This window comes from Homo sapiens, chromosome 16 (assembly GCF_000001405.40).
Source record: "Homo sapiens chromosome 16, GRCh38.p14 Primary Assembly".
Classification (NCBI taxonomy): domain Eukaryota; kingdom Metazoa; phylum Chordata; class Mammalia; order Primates; family Hominidae; genus Homo; species Homo sapiens.
In genome coordinates this window covers 80691212-80717774 of record NC_000016.10, presented here as the reverse complement: position 1 = coordinate 80717774, position 26563 = coordinate 80691212, and the positions used below count along the sequence as shown (strand labels likewise).

At 41.3% G+C, this 26563-nt stretch overlaps 1 protein-coding gene across 4 annotated transcripts in view; it reads left to right on the top strand.

Annotated features, from left to right (window-relative positions):
• Nucleotides 1–26563, top strand: part of CDYL2 (chromodomain Y like 2) — a 207131-nt gene that overhangs the window by 87263 nt on the left and 93305 nt on the right. The window contains exon 1 of one of the 4 annotated variants that reach the window (XM_024450151.2): nt 14256–14474. The exons of the other annotated variants lie outside the window; for them this stretch is intronic. The gene's annotated coding sequence lies outside the window, so the exon portion shown is untranslated. Of the gene's footprint in view, nt 1–14255; nt 14475–26563 lie in introns of those variants that run through there. 4 annotated transcript variants of the gene reach the window in all.

Sequence of the window (26563 nt, the reverse complement as noted above, 5' to 3'; positions counted from 1 at the left end):
TTAGTTAATCATTTATTTTAATTATTTATTTCCTGTCTGCCTTTTACATATCCTGGCCAACTTCCCAAGGACAGGGGCCTTGTCTGTCCACTTCACTGCTCCATGCCCCTAGCAGATCTCATGAATACTTGTTGCCTCCCAGATCGTGGAGGAGACTGGAGAAGGTGTCTGGTTCAGTCTCCAGTTTCTCTCAGGGGTTTTCTCTTCATGGTTCCTAAAGAGGTAAAGCAGTCTTCACCCTAGTGAAATCTTTGGAAGAGGACTGGGGGCTGTCATTTGCCCCAGCTCAGGTTACCTCTGTCTCCATCCACCTTCCCTGGTGGCAGTGGCTGTGTTCAGTATGTTGTCTTTGAAGTTTCTTACTTTATTGCCACCAGGATATCCAGCCCCCTGTAGCCATGTTGCTATCTTTTTGTAAGAATAATAATGATGTAGGAAAGAGAACTGGTGATAATTCAAGATCGTCATAGAGGACATACAAGGCAGTCTAGGACTCTGGGTAGCTCCTGAAGGTGAAGCTGCTGGGCCTAAAGTTGAATAGTAAGAATGGCTAGTCACCACACTGTGTGTCAGCAGGGCTGTCTCCATCCATCCATCCATCCATCCATCCATCCATCCATCCATCTATCGATCCAGTCCACCCATCCATTCATTCATCCCTCCATCCATTTGTCAACCCAATCATTCACCCATCCATTTATCCATTTAATCATCCATCTATCCATCCATCCGTGCATCCATCCATCCATCCATCCATCCATCCATCCATCAATTGAATCATCCATTCATCTAATCATCTATCCACTCATCCATCTGCCCATCCATCCATTATCTATCCATTCATCTGTCTATCCATCTGTCCATTCAATCATCCATCCATCCATCCATCCATCCAGTCATCCATCCATCCATACATACATTACATACATCATCTATCCATTCATCCATCTATTCAGCCATTCATTCAGTCACCCCTCCATTATCATCCATCCAGTCATCTGGTCATCCAGTCATCCATCTATCATCCATCCATCGATCCATCCATTATCCATCCATCACTATATCTATCCATTCATTCAATTACCCCTCTGTTATCCATCCAATCATCTATTCATCCAGTCATCCATGTATCATCCATCCATCCATCCACCCATCTAGCCATTCATCATCTATCCATTGATCCATCTGTCTGTCCATTCATTCAGTCATCTATCCATTATCATCCATTTAGTCATCTATTCATCCAGTCATCCATTTATCATCCATCCATCCCTCCATCCACCCACCCATTGTTCATCCAGCTATCCGTCCATTCATCCATCCATGCATCCATCCATCGACCTACCCATCCACCCATCTATCCATCCACCCACCCACTCATTCATCTACCCAGCCATCCAGTATGTCAGGAGCTGTGGTAAGTCTTGGCATATAGTGTGAGCAAAACCAGACATGTATCCTGCTCTTGTGATACACATTAATCAAGTAGTCCTATAAAGGATGTATAATTATGATGTAAGTACTTGGAAGGAAATAGCATATATGAGGAATCTTAGTGTGGGGAGCCACAGAGGAGGCTTCTCTTTGATGAAGTGATATTTGAGCTGAGATAAGAATGAGGAGTGAACAGTCACTGAATTCCTTTTATGTACCAGGCCTTGTTACAATTATTTTTACCTGATTTGCATGGACTGACTTTTCATCCTTATAATGATCCCATGAAGGAGGAATGATTATCATCCCCATGAGGAACTGAGGCATAAAGAGATTTAGCTCTCTGCCCAAGGGCGTAACCACAGGTCGGCGACAGAGCTGGGTTTTGGGCTTAGGAAGTCTGGCTTAGAATCTACTTCTTCTTCCATCTAGGGGTGGGTAGGAGTTAGAGGAAGAGGGATGGGGAATGAAAGGACTTTCCAGGGCACAAGGGCCAGGCACTGAGGTGAGGTTTGGGGCCATGGATGATTCCATAGAGTGGCTGCAGGGCAGAGAGTGAGGAGGAGATGGAAGGTGAAGGGGCAGGAAGTGCAGGTAGATACCAAACTGTGCAGGGCTTATACACCATTTTAAGGGTTTTACATGTTCTCATTTGAGCAATGGAGGGTTTTAAACAGGGAGAGGGAGTTGGGGACACAATCAGATTTTCATTATGAAAAAAAAAATTCCTCTGGAGGCAATGTGAGAGTGGAGGAAAGGGAGGCCGGAGGGGTGCAGAGATTTTCCTTTGGAGGCTGCTATGAGAGCTGGTGTCCCACAGCAGGGCAGTGCCACTGGAGAACCATGAGTGTCTGTAAATGTCTTGCAAAGACATTCAGGAGGTAAAATTGCAAATCTTGGAAGTGGAGGTAAGGATGAGGGCCCTCTGGTTGTCAGAATGGCTCCTCGCCTTGGATAACTGGATTAGTTGGGGTATTGTTGGTGGTTATGGTCTTCCAGAGCCCTCAATCATTGTTGACTATGGTGGGATCATGACTCCGGGTCCCACAAGGATTCCTGTATCCTCAGGCCAGTGCCAAGGACACAGAACTGTATCATGTGCTGTGGAGCCCACGTCAGTGCCTGAGCCAGACACAACATTTCTTCCTCTTTGCTGACCTGACCCACATGGCCATTGTTAGATCCATGGCTTGGGTCGAAGTTCTGCTTGTGTACCGTACTGCAGTTACACTTACTTTGATCTCATCTCCAGTTGCTCCTCCAGATGAGTAAGGCATGTCCGCTCACTTGCATGAGCTTAGTTACCCTGTCAGTGTCTGTTGATGTTTCTCTCTGGGGATTCTGTCTCTGATCCTTAGTGACTCCACAGCTCTGGTCATGGTCTGAGGCTTTGACTACATCCTACTTGGGGGGACAGATGGAAACACCTTTTAATCCTGCTCGAGAAATCTGCCTGGCCACTAAAGGAGCTTTGTAAATGCTCACCTTTCATTTGATCTCCAAAAATGGAGCTTTTGGTGAAACACGTTGGTAGTTTATTTTTGGGTAATTTATCCTGTCACTGAGCAACCCTCAGGAGCCTTGGAGCTAGTTGGATTGAGCGTAGAATGCAGAGATATTTCTTGTCAGGGTTCCAGGATGGCATTGATGTAAGGTATGCTGGGATTTTATGGGGTAGGAGCAGAGAAAGTTAGGGTCGGGGATAGGGTCATTGGCTTTATTGAGGTGACCATAACTTGTGGCAAATTTAGGAAGTCTTACGTCTTGCAGGAGACACAACAACAGATATATAAATAGTGAGTAACCAGCCAGGTGGGCAGCAGCCTCTTGATTTATTTTAAATTTTTTTATTTTTCCCGTTTATTTTTAGTTGACATATAGTAATTGTACATATTTATGGGATACACAGTGATATTTCTATATGTGTATACAATGTATAGCAATCAAATAAGGTTAATTAGCATGTCCTTACCTCAAACATTTATCATTTCTTCGTGTGGGGAACATTCAAAATCTTCTCTTGCAGCTTTTTTTTTCTTGATTTATTGGTGTTAGGTAGTAAGAACCTAAAAAGTATCTGATGGTACAGGTATCCCCCAGCTTGCAGTTTAGGGGATACCAGGATGGAAGCTTAGTGTCAAGGGTCAAGCTAAGGGGTCTGGGTCGTGAGACTGGGACAGTGCTTAAGTTCCAGTATTCCAGTTTACATTTGAATATATAAATATTCCAAACCACCTATAAATTAGTAGTGTTAAAAAATTTTTAATGCTCACAGGTTTTGAGGGTCAGGAATTTAGATAGGCAACGTGGGAATGGCTTGTCTTTCCTCCACAATGTTCGGCACCTCTGCTGGGAAGACCTGAAGGCTGGCAGCTGACCCGTCTGGAAGCACATTCATTCTGACATCTGCTGTTTGATCCTGGCTCTTGACTGGGGCCTGAGCTATGTTGTCGGTTGGCACACCTGCATGTAGTCTCTCCGTGAGGGCTTGCTTGGGCTTCCTCACAGCATGGCTCCTGAGTTCCAAGAATGGGCATCCCAGGAGAGCAGAGTGGAAATGAATGTCACTTTTATGATATAGCCATAGAAGTCACATAGGGTCACTTCCCTATGGCCACGACAGTCTCAAATGTACACCCAGTTCAAGGGGAGGGGGCATAGACCCTACCAGTTGATGGGAAGCGGAGCAAGGTCACATTATTAGAAGACAGGAGATCTTAATGTGTTCATCTGTGCAAAATACCCACACCCAGCCATAGGATGGTAGAGAAGATTGTGTTGAGGCCGGTCATCCCCCACCGAGGAATCTTTGATTAGAGCTCATCAATGGTTCAGAGGGACCTTTGGTGCTCTGGGCTAAGCTTTAATATCCCAATGGAACATCCTGAACAGTAACCTATGGCTGTGGTGACAGTGCATCTGAAAGGCCATTTGATTTAACTAAAAAATGCTACCAGTCTTCTGGAGGTGTGTCTACAAATGGCATGTGACAATCTGATTGAGTCTCTTGAATGATTGCAGACTTCTCCCACAATGCACTGTTCTCAGAGCCTCTCACAGCTTGTTTTGTAACTTCATCCAGCTACATATTTATCCGTGCATTTATCTTTCCAGCCACCTAGCGCTTATTAAATGCCTGCAGTGTAGCAGACATTGCACAGGGCATTATGAGCAGGAGGAGAGGTAGAAAAAGCCATAGACTGCAGCAGATCATGGGCCATACCGTCAAGGAACGCAGTCTCTGAAGGGATATTCTTGTATAAGTAAGCAGGGCTGCTGAGGACCTTGGAACACCTCTTGTCTGCAGCTGAAAACAATGAGCGAAGCCACAACCTGGACCTGGAGTGCATTTGACTTCGGACATCTGTGTGCCTCTCCTCCTTCCTCTTGTCCCTTCTGTTGGGTACTAGCAGGAAGTCCACATTTGCTATCAAGGAAGCTGGTACCCCTTTGGGCTGGGCTTTACTAAGCTTGCAACACCCAGGGGATATAAAATTCAGAGCCGGTCATGCATCTTACATACATCAGATGAAAGGAAGCAGATATCTTATGTCTGATGGCATTGGGACACAGTCCTTTTTGTTGACTGCATTGTCTTTAAGCCATGCATTTCCCATTCATCCCAGAGCTGTACACTGTAGCTTAGGGCTGTGTTACCCATAGGCACCTTTTGGGGGCCATTGTGGTTTGGTTTTCCTTTCCAAGCACCTCGCAGAGACCTATGGAGTCCACCTTCTTTCTGCCTCCAGCCACCCACTTCTCCCACACGGTGGAAGGAGACGCCCCTGCCCCATCCTGCTGCTGGGTTTGGGCTCATTTTTGCCTCATTCACATCTGAGAGGGTTCAGTTTCTTGCTGTGGTGGTGAGGAAACAGGGAGATGTGAGGCGCAGCCGACATGGAGAGCAGCCAGGGACCAGCAATGTTGTGACATTGACGAATAGACCAGGAGAGACTTGTAAGGGTACACAAAGGACACCAGGCAGGGATAGTTTGCACTGGGGGTCTTATGCATGGTCTCCAGGTGATCCAGTGGCTACGTTTCAGGGACTCTCTGGACATTATTTTAAAACATACGCAAATTTAATTGCATTCAGTTAAATCACAGTGAGCAGTGGTTTGGAGATATATATATATATATATATATATACACACACAGACACAAAGACACATATATATACACACATGTATATACACATATATGTACACACATATATATACACATATATACACATATATACACATATATATACACACACATCTATATACACACATCTATACACACACATCTATATACACACATATATATACACACATATATATACACACATATATACACACATATATATACATACATATATATATGTGTATACACATATATATACACACACATATATATGGGTGTCCTTCTCCCCTGTCGGTTGGATAATGGATAATTCAGGGTCCCGTTGACGTCTCTATTCCGCAGTGCCATACTGAGTGTGGTCAGCCAGGGCATTATGCTCTTGCTAGGTACATCAGACAAGGGCCCAGGATTGGGAGTACAGGTGGCAGGAGTGTCCCTTGAAACACTATGCTTCAGATTTACTGAGTATTTATTAAGCGCCTCTTAGGGCCAGGTGTGTTGCCTTTTCAAACATTTAATACTTAGAACAACCATTGGAGACAGACTGTTATCCCTACATTTCTGAAGATGAAAGGAAGGCTCAGAGAGGTAGAGGAATTTGCTGTGGGTCACACAGCATGTAGCTCAAATTAAAAATCAGAGCTGTCAGGATCCAAACCTTGAGCTCTCTTCCACTTTGCATCCTGCGTGTTCAGAGGAGGAGAAAGCTTTTGCGTATGGGAAATGTCAACTCTTTTATTAACTTCAAGTGTTAATAAAAACAGGACGCTCTGTTAAGCACTCAAAGCAGTCCCCACCTTTGCCCCCTCCCAGGTGTGCATGCAGCCCTCCACAAGCTGTCAACGTCTGCTTCCCTGCCTGGGAGATTGGGCTGACTTGGAGCTTCTGACACAAATGGTTCAAGATACGTACTTTATATTGTTCACAGAATCTATTGGGCGGTTGATTTTGTTAACGTGAAAATGCCCCACTTCTTGTTGGCCATCTGCTTTGTCCAGAAAGTTGTCTTCCTGGTAACAGCGCCGCTTGAAACAAATCCTCCCACCTGGTTTTCACCCAATAACACAGCCTGCGTGCAAGCACTGTCCAGTTTGCCAGTCGCGTAGCACAACCTTTACTTTCCATTGGTATGTTTTGCCCTGCATGTTTGTGAGTTGCAAAGGGACTATTGTTTCCATATTTACAGCAAGCAGCAGGGCTGCAAATTAGTTTTAGTGACAAACTGAAGATTACCAGCTGTAGTTCAGGATTCAGATTTGTACTGTTACAAAAATATGTATTCATGAAACTAAAATTTCAAATTACTTCCTTCACATCTCGAAATAAATACTGTGCTGGGTATATGATATGCAGTGAAGAACTATTTCTGATTTTTAACAAAACCGAAAATTAGCATATTCAAAACACTTCTTGGTGACTTAGCTTTTAAAAAAATTTAAACACAGTTCTCTGTGTGTATGTGTGTGTGTGTGTGTAAGCAGTATTATAACATTAAGGGATTTTTTCAAGATGTACAATAGATCACCTTCAATCCTATCGTGACAATACAACTAAAATCATTATTGTCCTCTGTGTCCTTGTTTTCATACAGTTAACCTGTTTACACACATTTTTATTTTCTATTCACTGAACAATATACTGTAGTTATTTACTACTTGGTTACATAGTCTTTTCAGTTAAAATGTTTGCTGGCTTTGCACACATGCACACAAACACACGCACATCCACGTCAGTGTCACAATCAACACTTTAGTGCACATCATCTTTCTGTTTTCTTATTCAATTATGTCCTTAGAGTAAATTCTGTCGAATTACTTGGTTCAAAGATATGGACATAACTTGGTAAATATTGTTATGTGACTGCTGGAAGGGTTGTACCAATTTGTAGTACTGTGTACTTCCTCTAAAAATTAAATAAGCCATGGAAGAACATTTAGCAGTAAGTTCTGCTATAATATGACTTGAGCATTCTTAAAAATCAGCCTGCCAGGCCAGGCATGGTGGCTCACACCTGTAATCCCAGTGCTTTGGGAGGCCGAGGCGGGAGGATCACGAGGTCAGGAGTTCGAGACCAGCCTGGCCAACATGGCGAAATCCCCGTCTGTACTAAAAATACAAAAATTAGCCAGGCGTGGTGGCACGTGCCTGTAATCCCAGCTACTCAGGAGGCTGAAGCAGGAGAATCACTTGAAACAGGAAGGCGGAGGTTGCAGTGAGCCGAGATAGCACCACCGCACTCCAGGCTGGGCGAAAGAGTGAAACTCCATGTTAAAAAAAAAAAAAAAATCAGCCTGCTGTCCATAATCATGTAATTAAAAAATAGGGCTTACGGAAAAAGTAGGATTGGGGTACAAAATCAAAAATGTTGTCAGTGGCTCAGTGAAAAAAGGGATGGTAGTACAGTTTTGCACATGCAAGATGGTTAAGAAATCTATAATTCCTACAATAAATGTGGCACTTTACCTTAAAAAAGACTGAAAGTTGGCCTGTGGAAGTAGATGTGAGAAGGGCTAGTAATTATTGTGGGGTTGTGAAATAGGTTTTTCTGAAAGTTGTGCACAAGTGTGGTCCAGAACACACTCGCTTGGTGAACTGGGGGAGCTCATGGGTGTTTGAGGAAGTGTGTGTGTGTGTGTGTGTGTGTGTGTGTGTGTCTGTTTATTCCTGCATGGCTCAGTTTACTTAGGTGCAGCTTTAGCTTTCTGCATTCATCTAGTGCTTCTCATGGACGAAATTGTGCACAAGAAAATGCAAAATTTGCGTTATGCTCAAATTATTCCCTGATATATAAATTGTGTTGGAACAAATTTGTATTTTCTTTTTTTTTTTTTTTTGAAATGGAGTCTCGCTATGTTGCCTAGGCTGGAGTGCAATGGCACGATCTTGGCTCACTGCAACCTCCACTCCCCGGGTTCAAGTGATTCTCTTGCCTCAGTCTCCTGAGTAGCTGGGGCTACAGGTGCACGCCACCACACCCAGCTAATTTTTGTATTTGTAGTGGAGACGGGGTTTCGCCATGTTGGCCAGGGTGGTCTTGATCTGTTGACTTCGTGATCTGCCCACCTCGGCCTCCCAAAGTGCTGGGATTATAGGCGTGAGCCACCAGGCCTGGCTAAATTTGTATTTTCAAAACAGGAGAAGGCAGTCCTGCCTGTGCTTTTCTATTTGTATTTCTTCTTGTCTGACTGGCGCCTTACGCTTCTGTTCAATTTGCAAACAGGAGCTCTGCTGCCAGAAGAACATTTTTATTTTCGGAATGTAGATAGGTAATTGCCTCATGTTGCTTTATAATAAGCAATTTTTTATATCTTTAAATATTTTCTATGAGGATTGCAGCAACTTTATAATAAAGATTTCATCATTACCAGATTCCTGTCTGCTCTATCTCGATGCTTTGGAACTGAGAACAACCTGAACTACACAATAAGCTTCTAGTACTTTCTACATATAAGTACAAAAAAAAACAACCCTGTGTGTTTTATTTATTTGTTCATTTTTAAAAGGAAATTTGACTACCAGCTGATATTTATTGATTGCCTCTTGGGTACAGTGACGCCCTTTGCAGCCAGGTGGGACAGGTTGAGTTTTCTCCTTGACAGAAATCCTTTCTGAGCCTCATCCTCAAAATGGGATGGGGTTGGCTTCTTAATAGGGAGGGCTGTGGCTGTACCAAGATGTATTCGTTCATTCTCATAACTGCTAGTAAAGCCTACCCGAGACTGGGTAATTTCTAAAAGAAAGAGGTTTAATGGCCTCACGTTTCCACATGGCTGGGGAGGCCTCACAATCATGGCAGAAGGCAAGGAGGAGCAAAGTCACGTCTTACATGGGGGTAGGCAAGAGAGCTTGTGCAGAGGAACTGCCCTTTATAAGACCATCAGATCTCCTGAGACTTATTCACTGTCACAAGAAGAGTATGGGAAAAACCCACCCCCGTGATTCAGTTATCTCCACCTGGCCCTGACCTTGACACGTGGGGATTATTACAATTCAAGGTGAGATTTGGGTGGGGACACAGCCAAACCATATGACAAGATAATGGATTTGACGTCTCCACTTCCTGTTGAGTAAATGTGAGTTTCCTCCTATCCTTCCATCCCAGTCCTGGATTTTTCCTTAGACCTACCATCCTCTACAACCTCCTATGGGGCATGAAGGGGGAAAGGGCATCATCTTTGCCCCACCCCTAAAGAGTGTGATCCTCTGAGCCTTTCTTGTAGAAATAGCATCCTGCCTTTCTTTCTGGATAAACTTAAGGTGATCTACCCTTAGTAACCCAACACCCTACTGGAGAGAAAAAAACTTGTGGTTTAAGAGGCATCAATGGTCTCTTACTGGAATTTTCCCAGTGTACAGTGATGAAACACTTGTGCCCTTGTATTACAGGCCACTTGAAGCACCAACCCTTGACCTGAGCCAGGGTTCAGATAAACTGTATTCCCCTCACTTATGAGGCTGCCTCTCTGGATGCTGGACTTGGCCACACTTTTACAAACAGACACAGATTCTGTTAAAAACTAGGAAAGGATTATGACTTAAGCATTGGATCTGAACACTCAGAAAGACACCACCAAAGCATCTGGAGTTTGGTGATGCCAACCCAAAGAAGCTGCATGTTCTGACCCATTTGATGCTCTGTTCCCAACTGGAGCATTTACAGTCACCGAACCAGAAGGAGCCCTCTGGAAGGATCTTGAACAAGGATGGTCTTGTTCAAGGTTTTTCACATTTATACTTTCTTCTTTTCTTTTTTTTGAGACAACATCTCTCTCTGTCGCCTAGGCTGGAGTGCAGTGGTACGATCGTAGCTTACTGCAGCTTTGATTTCCCAGGTTCAAGTGATCCTCCTGCATTAGCCTCCCAAGTATAGGACAGACACACGCCAGCCCCAGGATGAGTTATGTTAATTTTTTTTGTAGAGATGGGGATCTTGCTGTGTTGACCAGGCTGGTCTTGAACTCCTGGCCTCAAGCAGTCCTGTCATCTTGGCCTCCCAAAGTGCTGAGATTACCAGTGTAAGCCACTGTGCCCAGCTCTCACTTATTTTTATTGTCTAAAAATTTTCTTTTTTTAGCATGAAATGCAATACCAGGTAGAACCATAATGGCTATACTGAATCCTAGGGGGCAGGCTCTGGGTGCAGGGAGTTGGATGTGGGGTGTTCACTGCACCCCCATGCTCTGAGGCGACATCCTCTGATGCCTTCATCAATCTGTACGGCTTCCCAGAACATGGGTGGAAAATGTCTGCTTGCATTCAAGACTTTTATTTTATGGGCAGGCAGACAAGTCTGTAGGTGTGATTGACCTGAGTCAGTTGGCCGTGTAACTGAAGAGCCAGGTCTTCTGATATCTACCTCTGTTCTCATGAATGAGACCGGCCTATCTTCTGCCTTCCCGTGATGAAGATTTTCCATTGTGTACTCTTGCCTTGTAGACTGGGAGGCAGCAGTCCCAAACCTGCCTCTACTTCCTTTGTTTCTTCCTCTTTGTCTATGGTCCCTGGACTCAATCTCATTCTTCTTGGCATTTCTTGTACACTTGTGGAGCATTTCTGGCACCCTTGATAATCACTTTTGTGCAGGAGGAGGGGATGATTTCCCCTGGGGCTGCCCCTAGCGGCTTGGTGGCAACTCAGTGATAATTGTTTACCAGAAGCCAGCCTCAGTCATGAATTCCTTCCAAACATTAACTTATTTGATCCCTGCAACGTGCAACAATGTGATCATGATTCCCAGTGTTCAGATGGGAGAAGTGGGGCTCAGAGAGGCAAAAATAGTTTGATCATGGTTTTATAGGGTGGAGGCCTAGATTCAAGCTGAGGTTTATCTTGTTTCCGAGAGCTTGAGCCCTTCACTGCCAGCATTGAGCGGATGGGTCCAGCATTGCCCTCCTGTTTTTGAGCTCACATTCTTGTGTGAGGGTGGAGGGCAACTCATTTTTCACAAACCTGTTGAAGTTCTCGAGAGGTTACTGGCCTGTAGCCAAGGGACAACTAATGGATGTAATTGATTTATGCCTCTTAAAATGTTTTGCAGAATTTTTAGTAGCTTTTGATGTTGGCATGTAGTCACTTGGCTGGGGATTAGGTGTTATTTTGAGGGAAAGATGCGGAGTAGAGAAGAGTGAACACTTTTCCATCAGTCTTCTACACTGGATGCTAAGTTCCATGAGAACAGGGACCATGTCTGTGATGTTCAGATTACACCCCTCTACTGCCTTGGAGTGTCCAGCATACGGTAGATGCTCAATATATGCTTTTCTCCCTTAATAAATAAATGGGATAACTTGAAGAAAGATTTTATGATGTTTATGGATAAAAAGAAGAGATAAACTATGGAATGGAGAAATTATAATATGGGGGTTGGCAAACTATGGCCACAGGCCAAATCTGGCCCACCATTTGTTTTTATAAATAAAGTTTTATTGGAACACAGCCACATTTGTTTATGTATTGTCTGTGGCTGTGTTTGCATGACAAGGGCAGATTTGAGTAGTTGCAACAGAGACCATGTGGCCTTCAAAGCCTAAAATATTTACCATCTGGGCCTTCACAAAAACGTTTGTTGACCATTGGTTTATAATAATGCCAGTTCTACTGAAAGAAATGTGGAAAATATTCATAATAGCACAAAGGCCTGCAACAGATCTTTGTTGGAATAGGAAGAACAGATTCTGCCAGGGGACCTGCCTGCGTTCCCTCAGTGTGCCTTCTACAGCTGGGCTAAAGCTTCTAGAACATTCCTGAAAGCAGATGGGCTCCCTAGAAGGAAGCAGTGGGTTCTTGTAGAGGCCTTGGCAGGTGGAGGAGTTCTTGGGGTCAGTAAGTTTGCATCTGGATGACATTAGGACTCTAGCATCGCTCATAGTTCTTCAAAAGTGGCCTTTGGCCAGAGTGAAGACAGGAATCTCCCTGCCCGCTTTCCCAGCCACCTGACCCTGAGGGACGGTCTTACCTGTGGAAGACTGCAAAGGGAGAACCAGGCTGAAAGGAGGTGTTAGCAGCCATCCTGCTAGAGGAAACTGATGCCACCTCTGGTCCCAGATGTTTGGTGCTCCCTTCTGCCCTGGTGGGCATTCGGATCTGGACCCTGTGTCTCAGAGGGATGGCTGAGCAATAAAGGATTTCCTGAAGTCAGCGTAGACGAAGCACTGGTGAGCTGTTGGGATGAGTCAAACAGAGCATCTGCCCACGAGGAACTCACCTAGTGAGGTCTAGCTCCTAGCTGGACAATAAGCATGTCAAGCCTGGACCAGGGAGCCCCTACCTTGGCCAACTTCTCCACCTGCCATACCCCTGGGTGGCTTATTTTGCACTTAGGATCAGGATGAGATCAGGGTTCTTAACTTGCCATAGAGACCCAGCAGAGTCTGTTTTCTTACTCTCATCTCTCAACATGCCCCAGTCCCTTTTGGCTTCAGCCACGTGGCCTTTCTCTGTTACTCACGCTGACCACTGGCCACATTCCTCCTTGGTTCAGAGCATTTGCACATTCTCTTCCCTCTAACTGGAACTGCCTTCTCCCTGAGCTCCTCCCGCATGCCCTGTTCCAATCAGTGGCAGCTCTTCCTTCCATTCTGAATGTCACTTCCTCCAAGGAGTCTTCCCTGACTGCCAAGACCAGGTTGGCTACCTTGTACACACCGGTGGTGAACGTCTTTCCTTTTGTCTAGAGCACTTATCTCAGTTTGCTATTAATGTTGGTTGGTGACTTTATGTATTAGAAGCTGGCTGTCCCCATGGACTGTGTGCTTCATGAGCATGAGGGCCACATTTGTTTTTATTCACCGTTGCACCTCTGGTGTCTCCTGCAGTGCCTGGCATGTGATGAGCACTTGATAAGCATTTGTTGAATGATGATCAAGTTCCATCTTTGGTATTGGTTCTGAGAGAATAGCTGTGGCTGCCTGGAGTGTTGTATTTAAAAGAAGAAGAAGAATATCAATTTGCCAAGTGCTTCTGTGTAAATTCTGTGCTATGCATTTTGAGTTGATCTGGGCTGATTAGGAGTGGGTGCTGTGGTTGATTAGCAGTGTCTGGCTTGGATGAGGGTGCGAAAGGAAAGAAGGGAGTTGGTTAATGAGGTTTCAGAAAGCACCATCTAATGTACCTCACTGACCTCCTAGGACAAACAGACATTTTGCTCTACTCAGGTAGTGGAGTTTTTACTGGTCACCTTCACCTCCCAATCTTCCAGCAACATGCACACTTCCGCTATCCTGTAACTCAATTGTTGGCCTGTGTGTACTTTGGAATTCAGTATGCAGTGTGGTGATGGGCGCACCCACCCTGCGCAGCTGGGCAAGAGAAGGGAGGTGGCTGCTCTGCTTACCTGGGTGCAAAGTTTGATGCTAACGTGGCTCCGCAGGTGAGGCTTGTCATCCAAGCTCAGGCAAGGCCAGGTGTGGTCTGGAATCAGAGGTCAAGAGGGCAGGACCCTGCAGTAGGGGTCCTGGTAACCAGCAGGACTTAGGGGAGCCTGTACCCAGGAATAGCCGTGGAGAAGCCCCTGACCACCAGGTGCGGTTCTGGGAGGGGCTGGGTCACTTGTCCCTCTCCTTGAGCCAGAGTGTGATGCATGGTAACCAGATTGGTTGCTAGAGCACCCCACAGGGAGGCCCTGTGGCCTGAGCCACCACAGGGTGATGGGGATACCTGCTGTAAGGGCAGAGTGGCTGGGTGGGCATTGACTCATGGGCACCAGCTTTGGTCTAGTGCACATTAGAGAAAGTCCAGGGACCAGTGACGAGGTTGGTAGCTCTAGTCCAATCCTGAATCTGGGGATAAGCCTGAGGCTTTCTGTGTTCATTCATTCATCTAGCATTGACTGTACCTCTACCATGTGACAAGCCGTGGGGTTCACAGTCGAAAAAAAGAGCCTCTACAATCAAGGAGGCCACAGTCTAGTTGTGGAGGTAAATCAACCTTTAAAATATAATGCTATTCACATATATTTATCTGTTCATGAAAGGAAACTTTGTAAATACAAAAGAGTATAAAGAAGATAATTAACACTAATCTTGCTCCCTGGAGATAACATTCTTGTTAACATCTCCACCTCTCTTTTTGCCCAGGTGTGTGTGTATGTGCATATTCTACATGGTTGAGATAATTCTGTTAATGGGGTTTCCTATTTTTATTAACATTTCCTTCTTATCTTTTTTTCCTAGATTCATGTGTGTATATATATTCCACATGATTGAGCTAATACTCTAATAAACTTTTATGTCAAGTTATATCAGTTATGGACTTAGTGGCTTAAAGCAATAACAACTGATTATTTCTTAGGCTTCTGTGGGTGAGCTCTGTTGATTTCATCTGGGCTCACTCATGCAGCTGGGATGGAAAGTCCAAGATGGCCTCACCCACATTTCTGGCGTGCAGTGCTGGCTGTTGGCTGCGGCATTTTGTGTCTACTCATCCTCCAGGAGGCCAGGCTAGCCTCCTAATATTGTGGCCTTACCTGTCCACAGGGTCTTACTCTGTCACCCAGGCTGGAATGCAGTGGTACGATCATAGCCCACTGCAACCTTGCCTTCCTGGGCTCAAGCGATCTTCCAGCCTCAGCCTCCCGAGTAGCTGGGAGTACAGACATGAGCCACCACACCCAGCTAATTTTTAAATTTTTTGTAGAGATGGGTTGTCACTCTGTTGCGCAGGATGGTCTGAAACTCCTGGCCTCAAACAATCCTCCTGCTTTGGTCTCCCAGAGTGCTGAATTATAGACGTGAGCCCTCATGTCCAGACCTGTCTGCTTTTCCTAATGATATTCCTGAGATCTTTATATATTTCTTGATTATTTTTACTATTTTACTTCATGCCACTTAATTTTTTTCTATTTTATACACTTTTTTTCTTGATTTCTTCTAAAAAATGGGATACATGTGCAGAACGTGCTTTTCTGAGCAAAATATTATTTTGAACATGGGATGTCTTTCAATGAAAAATGAGATGGCTGTCTACCTCTGTCTTGTTTTCTTCTAAGTTTTTATAGTTTTGTGTGTGTGTGTGTGTGTGTGTGTGTGTGTGTGTTTTAGGCCTTCTGACTCTTGGAACCTCTTGGAATTAATTTTCAGAAAACCCCCAAACTCTGATTCCTCTACTGTGAAGTGGGGGTTTGTTTCTCACTCCACATTCCTGTATAATTGCCCCAATCCCACTTATGCAATAATTCTGCTATTTGGCACTGATATTTGATGCTACTTTGTTTCCGATTTTATCTCCTAATATATGAAGGGATGTTTTCAGGCTTGCTTTCTTGCTCAGTTGATTTATTTTTCCTGTCCTAATGCTACACTCACAAGTATAGTGGCTTTATATTCTACTTGAGTATGTTATTGTAGAAGTGCCTTCTCATTATTCTTCTTTTTCAAAAATCTCTTGGCTATTTTTATTTAATTCTCCCAAAGGTACTTGAGAACCATTTTGTAAAGTTCTGAAAATGAACTCATTGGGACTTTGATTGTAAACTGCGTTACATTTATCGATCAGTTTGTTGCAAACCAACTTTTAATATGTGAAGACTTCCCATCCAGAAACATGGTACATACAGCTCCATTCATTTCAGCCCTTTAAAACATCTCAGTAGAATTTTGTTGTTTATCTTCTTGTAGTTTTCCAATATTTCTTGTGAAAGTTAACGTTTGCAATTCGGTGTTTTTTTGGTTGTTTTTTGGAATGTGCTCATTTTTCCCCATGATATGTTCCAGTTGGTCATTTTTAAAAACAGAAATCAAATTAATTTAAAAAATATTTTTATTGATTTTTAAATGGAATAGATACTATGTAAATAATGTTCATTGAAAAAAAGCTTTACAGAAGAATTTGAATAGAAATGAAAGACCTTCTTTGTGGCCTCTTCCCCTGCATCCACTCCCTGCCTTAGAGAAAACCATTGTTAATAATTAGGCAATAACCATAGAAGATTAACAGTGAATTATTCCAGACCTTTATATATTTGCATATGCATATTTTGACATAAATGGGATCATACTGTACATTAAGACATATAGCTCTGTCTTGATCTATGTAGAGGTTCTACTTTGATAGAGTCCCTGTTTATTGCTTTTTTCCCTTTAGAATTGGTTGTATGCGGATGGATACTCAAAAGTCAAATGGCTGGTTCAAGGGTTTGTGCAGATTTTTTTCCCAGTGGCTTAAGACTGCAGGGGTTTATTTCTCACTCATGCTACCTGTCCAACAGTGTTTAGTGGGATCTTCTGCCCGCCGAGTCCCTCAGAGACCCAGGCTGCTGCTGAAGGCTTAACTGTTTCTTAGCTGCACGGCGTTACAACTCATGGCCTGCTCTGTTGCTGTGGCAGGGAAGACAACAAATAGGAAATTAAACCTTTCTGTTCAGAGGTGATACATTTCTTCTGTTTCCTGCCTACTGGCGAGAGAAAGCTAGCATGATGTGAACCTATGTACTATGTGTGGGAGGAGGAGGAGAGAAGGTTGTACATTTTAATTTGCATAGATATCTGTTAAATTACCTTCCCTAAAGGGTATATCCATTTACATATGCTAAGAACATATATAGCTATTCGTATGCCCACATCCTTGCCAACATAGGGTATTAGCAACCTTTTAAAATTTTGCTGATCTTTCTCACTGTTTTAATTTTCATTTCCCTGATTAGTGATGAGCTTAACCCTCTTTCTAATATGTTGATAGCCATTTTTATTTATTTGAATTTGTATTTCTTATTCTGCTTCTTTGCCCATTTTTAACTTCTTTTTCTTAATCGACTTTGAAGTTCCTTACATATTCTGGATGTTACTCTTTTGTTGCAAATGTGAATATTTTCTCAGTCCATTGTCATTTAATTTTATTTTTGATGTCTTTTATGAAAGGAAAAATTTTAATTATAGTTTAGTGAAATTTAGCACTCTTCATGGCCATTAGATTTTTGTTTCAGTGACCTTCTCCACTGTAAGTCTTAAAACGCATTTTTTGTGTTTGATATGTTCTTAGATTTTTGTTTAACTTTCTAATTTATCTGGAATTTTGCAGAGGCACTGTGATTTCTCCAACTTTGCTCTTTTTAAAAATTGTTTTGGCTGGCCGCAGTGGCTCACGCCTGTAATCCCAGCACTTTGGGAGGCCGAGGCGGGCGGATCATGAGGTCAGGAGATCGAGACCATCCTGGCTAACATGGTGAAACCCCGTCTCTACTAAAAAATCAGCCAGGCGTGGTTGCAGGCACCTGTAGTCCCAGCTACTCGGGAGGCTGAGGCAGGAGAGTGGTGTGAATCAGGGAGGCGGGGCTTGCGGTGAGCGGAGATCGCGCCACTGCACTCCGGCCTGGGCGACAGAGCGAGACTCCGTCTCAAAAAAAAAAAAAAAAATTGTTTTGGTCATTCTAATTATTTACCTTTTCCACATACCTTTCAACCTTTTAAGAAAAGTTTTTGACACATAATAATTATACATATTTATGGAGTATAGTATATTTCAATACATATAGATAATGTGTAATGATCAAATCAGGGTAATTAGCATATCCATCCCTTCAAACATTTGTCATTTCTTTGTGTTGAGAATAGTAAAAATCCTCTTTTCTAGTTATTTGAAAATACACAATAAAATTTTGTTAACTATATTCACCTTACAGTGCTGTAGAACATTAAAACTTAATCCTTCTGTTTAGCTGTGATTTTGTATTTATTAACTAACCTCTCCCTATCCTCTGTTCGTGCTATTCTTCACAGCCTCTAGTAACTACTGTTCTACTCTCTACTTCTATGAGATCAACTTTTTTAGCTTCCACGTATGAGTGAGTACTAGTGGTATTTGTATTTCTATGCCTGGCTTATTTCACTTAACACAATGTCCAGCAGGCTCGTGCATGTTGCCACAAGTGATAGAATCTCATACTTTTTTATGGCTAAATAGTATTGCATTGTATATAAATATGTATATCATATTTTCTTTATCCATTCATCTGTTGATGGACACTTAGGTTGGTTCTATATCTTGACTATTATGAATAGTGCTGCAGTAAACATGAGAGTACAGGTATATCTTAGACATACTGATTTTCCTTCCTTTGGATATATACCCAGTAGTGGGTTATTGAATCATATGATATTAAATTTTTAGTTTTTTTGAGGAACCTCCTTTCTATTTTCCATGTCTTTACTAATTTACATTCCCACCAACAGTTTATAAAGTTCTCTTTTCTCCACATCCTTGCCAGCATTTGTTAGTTTTTGTTTTTTTGATAATAGCCATTCTACCTGGGGTGAGATGTTATCTCATTGTGGTTTTGATTTGCATTTTCCTGGTGATTAGTGATGGTGAGCATTTTTTCATATTGTATTAGTTCATTCTCACACTGCTATAAAGAAGTACCTGAGACTGCATAACTTGAAAAGAGTTTTAATTGGTTGATGGTTCTGCAGGCTCTACAGGAAGCAAAGTGGCTTCTGCTTGGGAGGAGGCCTCAGGAAACTTACAATCATGGCAGAAGGTGAAGGGGAAGAAGACACATCTTATATGGCAGGAGCAGAAGTAAGAGAGAGGAGGAGAGATGCTACATACTTTGAAACAATCAGATCTTGTGAGAACTTACTATACAGTACCAAGGGAGGATGGCAGTTTATTCATGAGAACTGTGCCCCCATAATCCAATCACGTCCTACCAAGCCCCACCTCTAACACTGGGGATTATAATTCAGCATGAGATTTGGGCAAGGACACAGATCCAAACCGTATCACATATGCTTATTGGCCATTTGTATATTGTCTTTTGAGAAATGTCTTTTCAGATCATTGGCCCATTTTTTAATTCAGCTATTTGGTTTTTTGCTCTTGTGTTGAGTTCCTTGTATATTCTGGATATTAATCCCTTGTCAAATGCATAATTTGCAAATATTTTGTCCTATTCTGCGGGTTATTTGTTCATTCTGTTGATTGTTTTCTTTGCAGTACGTACAGAAGCTTTTTAGTTTGACATAATCCTGTCTGTTTTTGCTTTTGTTGCCTGTGCTTTCGAGGTCTTAGCCATGAAATCTTGTGTCTATTTTTATGCCAGTACTATACTGTTTTGGTTACTACAGATTTTTAGTATATTTTGAAGTCAGGTAGTATGATGCCTCCAGCTTTGTTTCTTTTGCTCAGGATAACTTTGACTATTTGGGATCTTTTGTGCTTCCATATGAATTTTAGGATTTTTTTTTCTATTTCTGTGCAGAATGTCATTGGTATTTTTATAGGGATTGCACTGACTTTGCAGATCATTTCGGCTAGTATGGCCATTTTAACAATATTCTTCCAATCCATGAACATGGGATGTATTTCCATTTTTTTAATCTTATCTTTAATTTTTTCCACCAATGTTTTATTCTTTCCATTGTAGAGATCTTTCATCTCCTTGGTTAAATTTATTCCTAGGTATTTTATGTTTTTGTAGCTACTGTAAATGGGATTTCTTTTTCAGCTAGTTTGTTACGATTGTATAGAAATGTGACTTTTTTGTTGATTTTGTATCCTGCAACTTTACTGAATCATCAGTTCTAAGAGGTTTTTGGTGGAGTCTTTAGATTTATATATATATAAGATCATGTTGTGTGCAAACAAGGATAATTTGACTTCCTTGTTTCCAGTTTGCATGCCCCTTATTTCTTTATCTTGTGAAATTTCCCTGGCTAGGACTTCCAATACTATGTTGAGTAAGAGTGGTGAAAGTGTGCCTCCTTGTCTTGTTCCAGTTCTTAGAGGAAAAGCTTCCAACTTTTCCTGATTCAGTGTGATGTTGGCTGTGGGTTTGTCAGATATGGCCTTTATAATGTTGAGGAACGTTCCTTGTCTACCTGATTTGTTGAGAGTTTTTATCATGATGAGATGCTGAATTTTATTAAATGCTTTCTCTGTATCCATTGGGATGATTTTATGGTTTTTGTCTTTCATTCTTAATGTGATGTATTACATTTATTTTCTAATGTATGTTGAGCCATATGTGAATCACTGGGATAAATCCCACTTGATTATGGTGTACTATGTTGTTGATGTGTTGTTGGATTAGTTTGCTTGTATTCTTTGTTGAGGATTTTTGCATCTACGTTCATCAGGGATGTTGGCCGGTAGTTTTCTTTTTCTTGTGTCCTTGTTTGCTTTTGGTGTCAAGATGACACTGGCCTCATAGAATGAGTTTGGAATAATTCCCTCCCCTTCAGTTTATCATTTTACTTTACTTATTTTTTTTTTAGAAACAAAATATCACTATGTTGTTCAGGCCGGAGTGTAATGGCTATTCACAGATGCAATCATAGGGCACTGCAACCTTGAACTCCTGACTTCAGGTGATTCTCTCACTTCCACCTCCAGAGGAGCTGGGTCTCTAAGTGCATGACACCATGCCTGGGCCCTCCTCTTCAGATTTTTGGAAGACTTGGAGAAGAATTAGTTTTAGAGTCCTTCTTTAAAAGTTTGGTAGAATTCAGCAGTAAAGCCATCCTGTTCTGGACTTTTCTTTGTTGGGAGGCTTTTTTTTTTTATTACTCTTCCATCTTGTTACTTGTTAATTGGTCTATTCAGGTTTCCTATTTCTATTTTGTATTTCCTGTTTAATCTTGGTAGGTTGTATGTGTCCAGGAATGTATTCATTTTGTCTAGGCTTTCCAATTTGTTGGCATATAGTTGTTTGTAACAGTCTCTAAGAATTTTTTGTATTTCGATAATATCAGTTGTAATGTCTTCTTTTTTGTTTGTGATTTTATTTGTGTCTTCTCTATTTTTTACTTAGTCTAGCTAATGGTTTGTTGATTTTATATTTAAAAAAAACTGTATTGTTGACCTTTTGTATTTTTTAGTCCCTATTTCTGCCCTCATCTTTATTATTTCTTTTTGTCTATTGAGTTCGGTTTTTTCTTGCTTTTCTAGTTCCTTGAGATGTATCATTAGGTCATTTGAAATCTTTCTGCTTTTTTGATGTAGATGTTCATTGCTATTACCTTCTCTCTTAGTACTGCTTTTCTATATCCCATAGGTTTTGGTATGTTGTGTTTCTGTTTTCATTTGTTTCAAGAAATTTTTAAGTTCCCTTCTTAATTTCTTCACTGACTCATTGGTTGTTAAGGAACGCATTGCTTAATTTCGATTATTTGTACAGTTTCAAGGTTTTTCTTGTTATTGATTTCTAGTTTTATTTCATTGTGGTCAGAAAAGATAATTGATATGATTTCAATTTTTAAAGCATTTGTAGAGACTTTTGTGGCATGATGTATGGTCTATCCTGGAGAATGCTTCATGTGCTAATGAGAAGAATATGCGTTCTGCAGCAGTTGATTGAAACCTTCTATAAATGTCTGGTAGGTTCATTTGGTCTGTAGTGGAGGTTAAAGCTGATGTTTGTTGATTTTCTGCCTGCTTGATCTGTCTCGTGCTGAGAGTGGTGTGTTGAAGGTCTCAACTAATATTGTATTGAGGTCTTTCCCTCCTTTTAGATCTAATAATATTTGCTTTATGTATCTGGGTGCTCCTGTGTTGGGTACATACATATTTACAATTGTAATTTCCTTTTGCTGAATTGATCCCTTTATCATTATATAATGACCTCCTTTATTGCTTTTTACAGTTTTTAAACTTAAGGTCTATTTTATCTGCTATAAATATAACCACTTCTGCTCATTTTTGGTTTCTGTTTGTGTAGTGTATCTTTTTCCATCCCTTCACTTTCAATCTGTTTGTGTCTTTACAGGTGAAGTGAATTTCTTATAGGCAGCATGTAGTTGGGTATTGCTTTTTTAGTTCATTCAGTCATTCTTTATCTTTTAACTGGGAAATTTAATCCATTTACATTCAATGTTATTATTGATAGGTTAGGACTTACTCTTGTCATTTGCTTTGTGGTTGTTTTGTATAGCCTTTGTTTCTTTCTTCCGCTTTTATTATTTATCTTTGGTTTTGTGGTTTTGTATAGTGATAAGTGTTGGCAAACTTTTTCTTGGGCCAGAGTAAGTATTTGTGAGCTGAACACTCTGTGTGACAACAACTCATTTCTACTGTTGTATTGTGAAAGCAGCCACAGATATTACATAGATGCATGGACATGGGTGTGTACCAATAAAACTTTACTTCCAAAAACAAACATCTGGCCAGATTTGGCCTGCAGGCCATAATTGGCTAACTGCTGATTAATTCACCTGTTTATATCAGATGGACTCTTGAATATTTATTCTTCGGGTTATAATTCTTTGGGATATATATTCTTTGGGTTACTCTTATTATCAGGAGCATGTTGCTTAATTTTGTTCTGTTACTCAGATTGTTCCAGTTTTGGCCATCGGGAGCTCTTTCATTTGGCCCTTTTGATATATTCCCGTCATTGTGGGTTTATTTATTTATTTGGAGCACTTTCATACCTTTTAGCACTCTCAGATCTTCTAGGGTCATCTTGTATGTTTTCTGTCCCAGCCCTAGAGTTAGGCATTTTCCTAGGGAGCCCTAGTTTTTTTCATTGGAGAGTGATATTAAGAAACCATGATCTGTGTTGCTGGATGTGCTCATTGATAGTAGGGTGTGACTGCTTCTTGGTCTTCTCAGAGGAAAGATGTAGGAAATATGTGTGTGCTCTAACTCATGTATACATATATTTATATTTCCATGTTTATATGTGTAAATGTATTAAAGTAAACATGAGTTTATACTGATATCTCTTACTCCGATTCAGTATTCCAGGGTTTATTCTAATCTTCTCCTTTAGCTTATTTATAGCTTTTTTTTTAAGCCAGTGAGAAACCTGGCTTTCATTTCCTATCAATTATTTACATATTTGCTCAAACCTAGTGTATGCTTAAGGTCATTTTTTAAATTCTTTGTACCTCTGCAAAAAACAATTTTACCAACTAGAGCAGGGGTTCCTAACCCCCTGGTTATGGACTGGTACCAGGCCGTGGCCTGTTAGGAACCGGGCCACACAGCAGGAGGTGAGTGGTGGGTAAGGGAGCATTACCACCTGAGCTCCGCCTCCTGCCAGATCAGCAGTGGCATTAGATTCTCATAGGAGTACGAACCCTCTTGTGAACTGCGCATGCAAGGGATTTGGGTTGCGTGTTTCTTATGAGAATCTAACTAATGCCTGATGATCTGAGGTGGAACAGTTTCATCCTAAAACCATTCCGCCCGTCGTGGAAAAATTGTCTTCCATGAGACTGGTCCTTGGTGCCAAAAAGGTTGGGGACTGCTGAACTAGAATACAGTATTTGTATACTTTGTCTTTATTTTGTCCAATTAAAACACAGTTTTCTAAAGTTACTTGGGTCAGCTCCTTTTCCCTGTCTCTTGTATTTAGGTTGTATCATACATCTGTAATACAGTGAGATTCATTTGTCACTGGATGCATTCCATCCTGGGAGCCTCTGACACCTTGGTTGATTTTTTTTTAAAAGTGCGTACAGAAAAGGTCACTCTTTTTTTGTGGTCTACAGCTCTGTGGTTTTTGACAAATGTACAGTCATGAATCCACCCCCATAGGACCACGCAGAACAGTTTAATCACCTAAAGATTCCCTTGTGTAGCCGATTGGTAATCATCCCCTCTTCTTCTGGTCCTTGGCACCTGAATGTAAGATTCATTTATGTTGCTGTACCAAGTAATAGTTTGTTCCTTTTAATTTCTGAGTGGTATTCTGTTATACGGATGAACTTCAGTTTGTTTATCTGTTTTCTTGTTGAAGAATATAGTTGTTTCTAGTTTTTGGAAATGACAAATTAAGCCCCTGTTAGTATTCACATACAGAACTTTTTTTTGTAAATAATACCTTTGGCCTCATTTCTGCTGTCTTGTTTAATGCTTTTTGTCTTTTATGCTTTATTACAATTTCTTTTGCAATATAGACCTTATTTCCATCTTCTCATTTGATTTGAAATGCATATTTCCTCTTTTTATTTCTATGTGTTTTGTGTGTGTCTTCCAAACAACTTTATTGAGGTATAACTTATTTATGATTACACACATTTTCAGTGTAAAAGTGACTTTTGACAGATGTATACCTCACCACGCAAATCCAATTATAGAACATTTCCATTTCCCCAGAAAGTTTCCTTATGGCCTTTGCAATCACTCTCACCCCCACCCCGCCATCCACCCCCACACCCAGCCCCCACTGATCTGGCTTCGATCACTATAGATGAGTTTGCCTGGCATGTAGTCTTCTGAGTCTGGCCCCTTCATTCAGCATAATGCCTGTGAGTTTCTTCCAAATTGTTGTGTGTGTCATTCCTTTTTATTATTGAGTGGTACTTCTCTGCACAGATATGCTATGGTCTATTTATTCTGTTAAAATACTTAGATTTCTCCAGGTTTTGTCTGTTATGAGAAAAAATGCTCTGATCATTGATCGTGTCATTTTATGGGCGTGTGTTCTTTCTTGAAAGTAATTGTTTTGTCAATATACACAAACATGTTACTCTAGTGATAAAGGCAGACATCATTCAGTTAAGTTTTCACTCTTCTTCATGTTTGACCATTTCCTATACTCATTATCTTAACTTGGCATTTAAAAATCACATTATTATAGTTTTGCTTTCTATTTTCACATTATATATGCAAGTAATCCTTTGAAAATCATTTAATATTTGCTTTCAATTTGTCATAATTACAATGATTACTTAAGCCTCAACTCCAGGTATTTATTTGGTATCATTGTATAGCATTAATCCTAATATGTATTCTTACTACACCTTCTCCAGTTTTACGTTAAAAATTTAGGTTTAAAATTGTTCTCTGAAGTACCTGTTTGAGTCATGTTTTAAATGGGCAGTTCCTATTTTGTCCCCTAAGAGATGAGTTATCTTCTTCCCCCGTTCTCATCTGAAGGACCACTTGGGCTATAGAATAGAATTCTTGAGTTCAGAATATTTATTGCTTCAACAGGTGTTCTGGAACATAATGTTCTGAAGTTGGCCTGATTTTTGGATGGGGGAGGGCTGGGGGATGAGGCAGATAATTCAGTTTTTTGAAATGAAGAAGCTTTGCATGGATAGAAATAAAGTTGATCTATTCTCAAACTCTCCTTCCCCCGTCAGTGAAGTCTTCTTTTGACGTGCAGACTTAGGACGTAGATTTCTTCTATTATGACTTGATTAGCGTTTCTGCCCTGTTTAGATTTTTTTCTCTTTGTTGGACTTAGACTGGGTGGATCTCTATTAACTCTTCTAGGTATCTATTCTCATTTTCCTTAGTGCTTTCTTTAAAATTTCTGTGTCCTTTTTTCCTGCTCTCTTGGACAGCTTTTCGAGTATGTTGTCTATGTCGCTGGTGTGATTTCCCGCATGTTGGTTCTGTCCTTTCCTGGTTCCAGCGGGAATTTTATTCCCTTGCTTGCGTTTTCTCTTTGATTCCTTTACATCCTTTCTTATGTAAATGAATCGTTTTTTTCATTTCAGCTTCCTTCTCAACCTGTTGGTTTCATTTCATCATGTATCTCTTCTTCTCTCTCTTTTAAAAACATGGGTCATATTTTCTGTAGTATTGGAAGACACACCACAAATACTATTCAAAAATATACAGTAGTACTCTTCACTGGTGTGATTGTACTGGGAACATTTTAGTTATGATCATGTTCTTATGTTTTAAAAATTTTTATGACCATGTTGTGTGATGATGCTGCTATTACTAATTTTGTGTGAGGTCTCTCTAGGCATAGTGTTTTCCAGCAGAATGGATATGGAAATTCCTGTTGGTCTCTCTCACCACTTGGATGCCACAGAGTCCCCCAGTCAGACCCTTGCCCAGAATCTAGCTTGGTTTACATGGCTCTGAGCCAAACTTCTTGGTCTGACAGCCATTTCCCTTGTGTAGTTTTGCTGCACTGGACGGGAAAAACCTACTGCCTTCTCTGGCTAGATTAGCTGAAGCAATCTAAGTCTTCTGGATTTTAAATAGCCCATGCCAAGTTGTTCCCAGAACTTGCCCTCTTTATCCTTCCTGAGGACTTCATACCCCAAGTTGTAACCATGGGGTGCCTTCGCCCTTCCGCCCCCAAGGGAGTTGTCTCAGGATG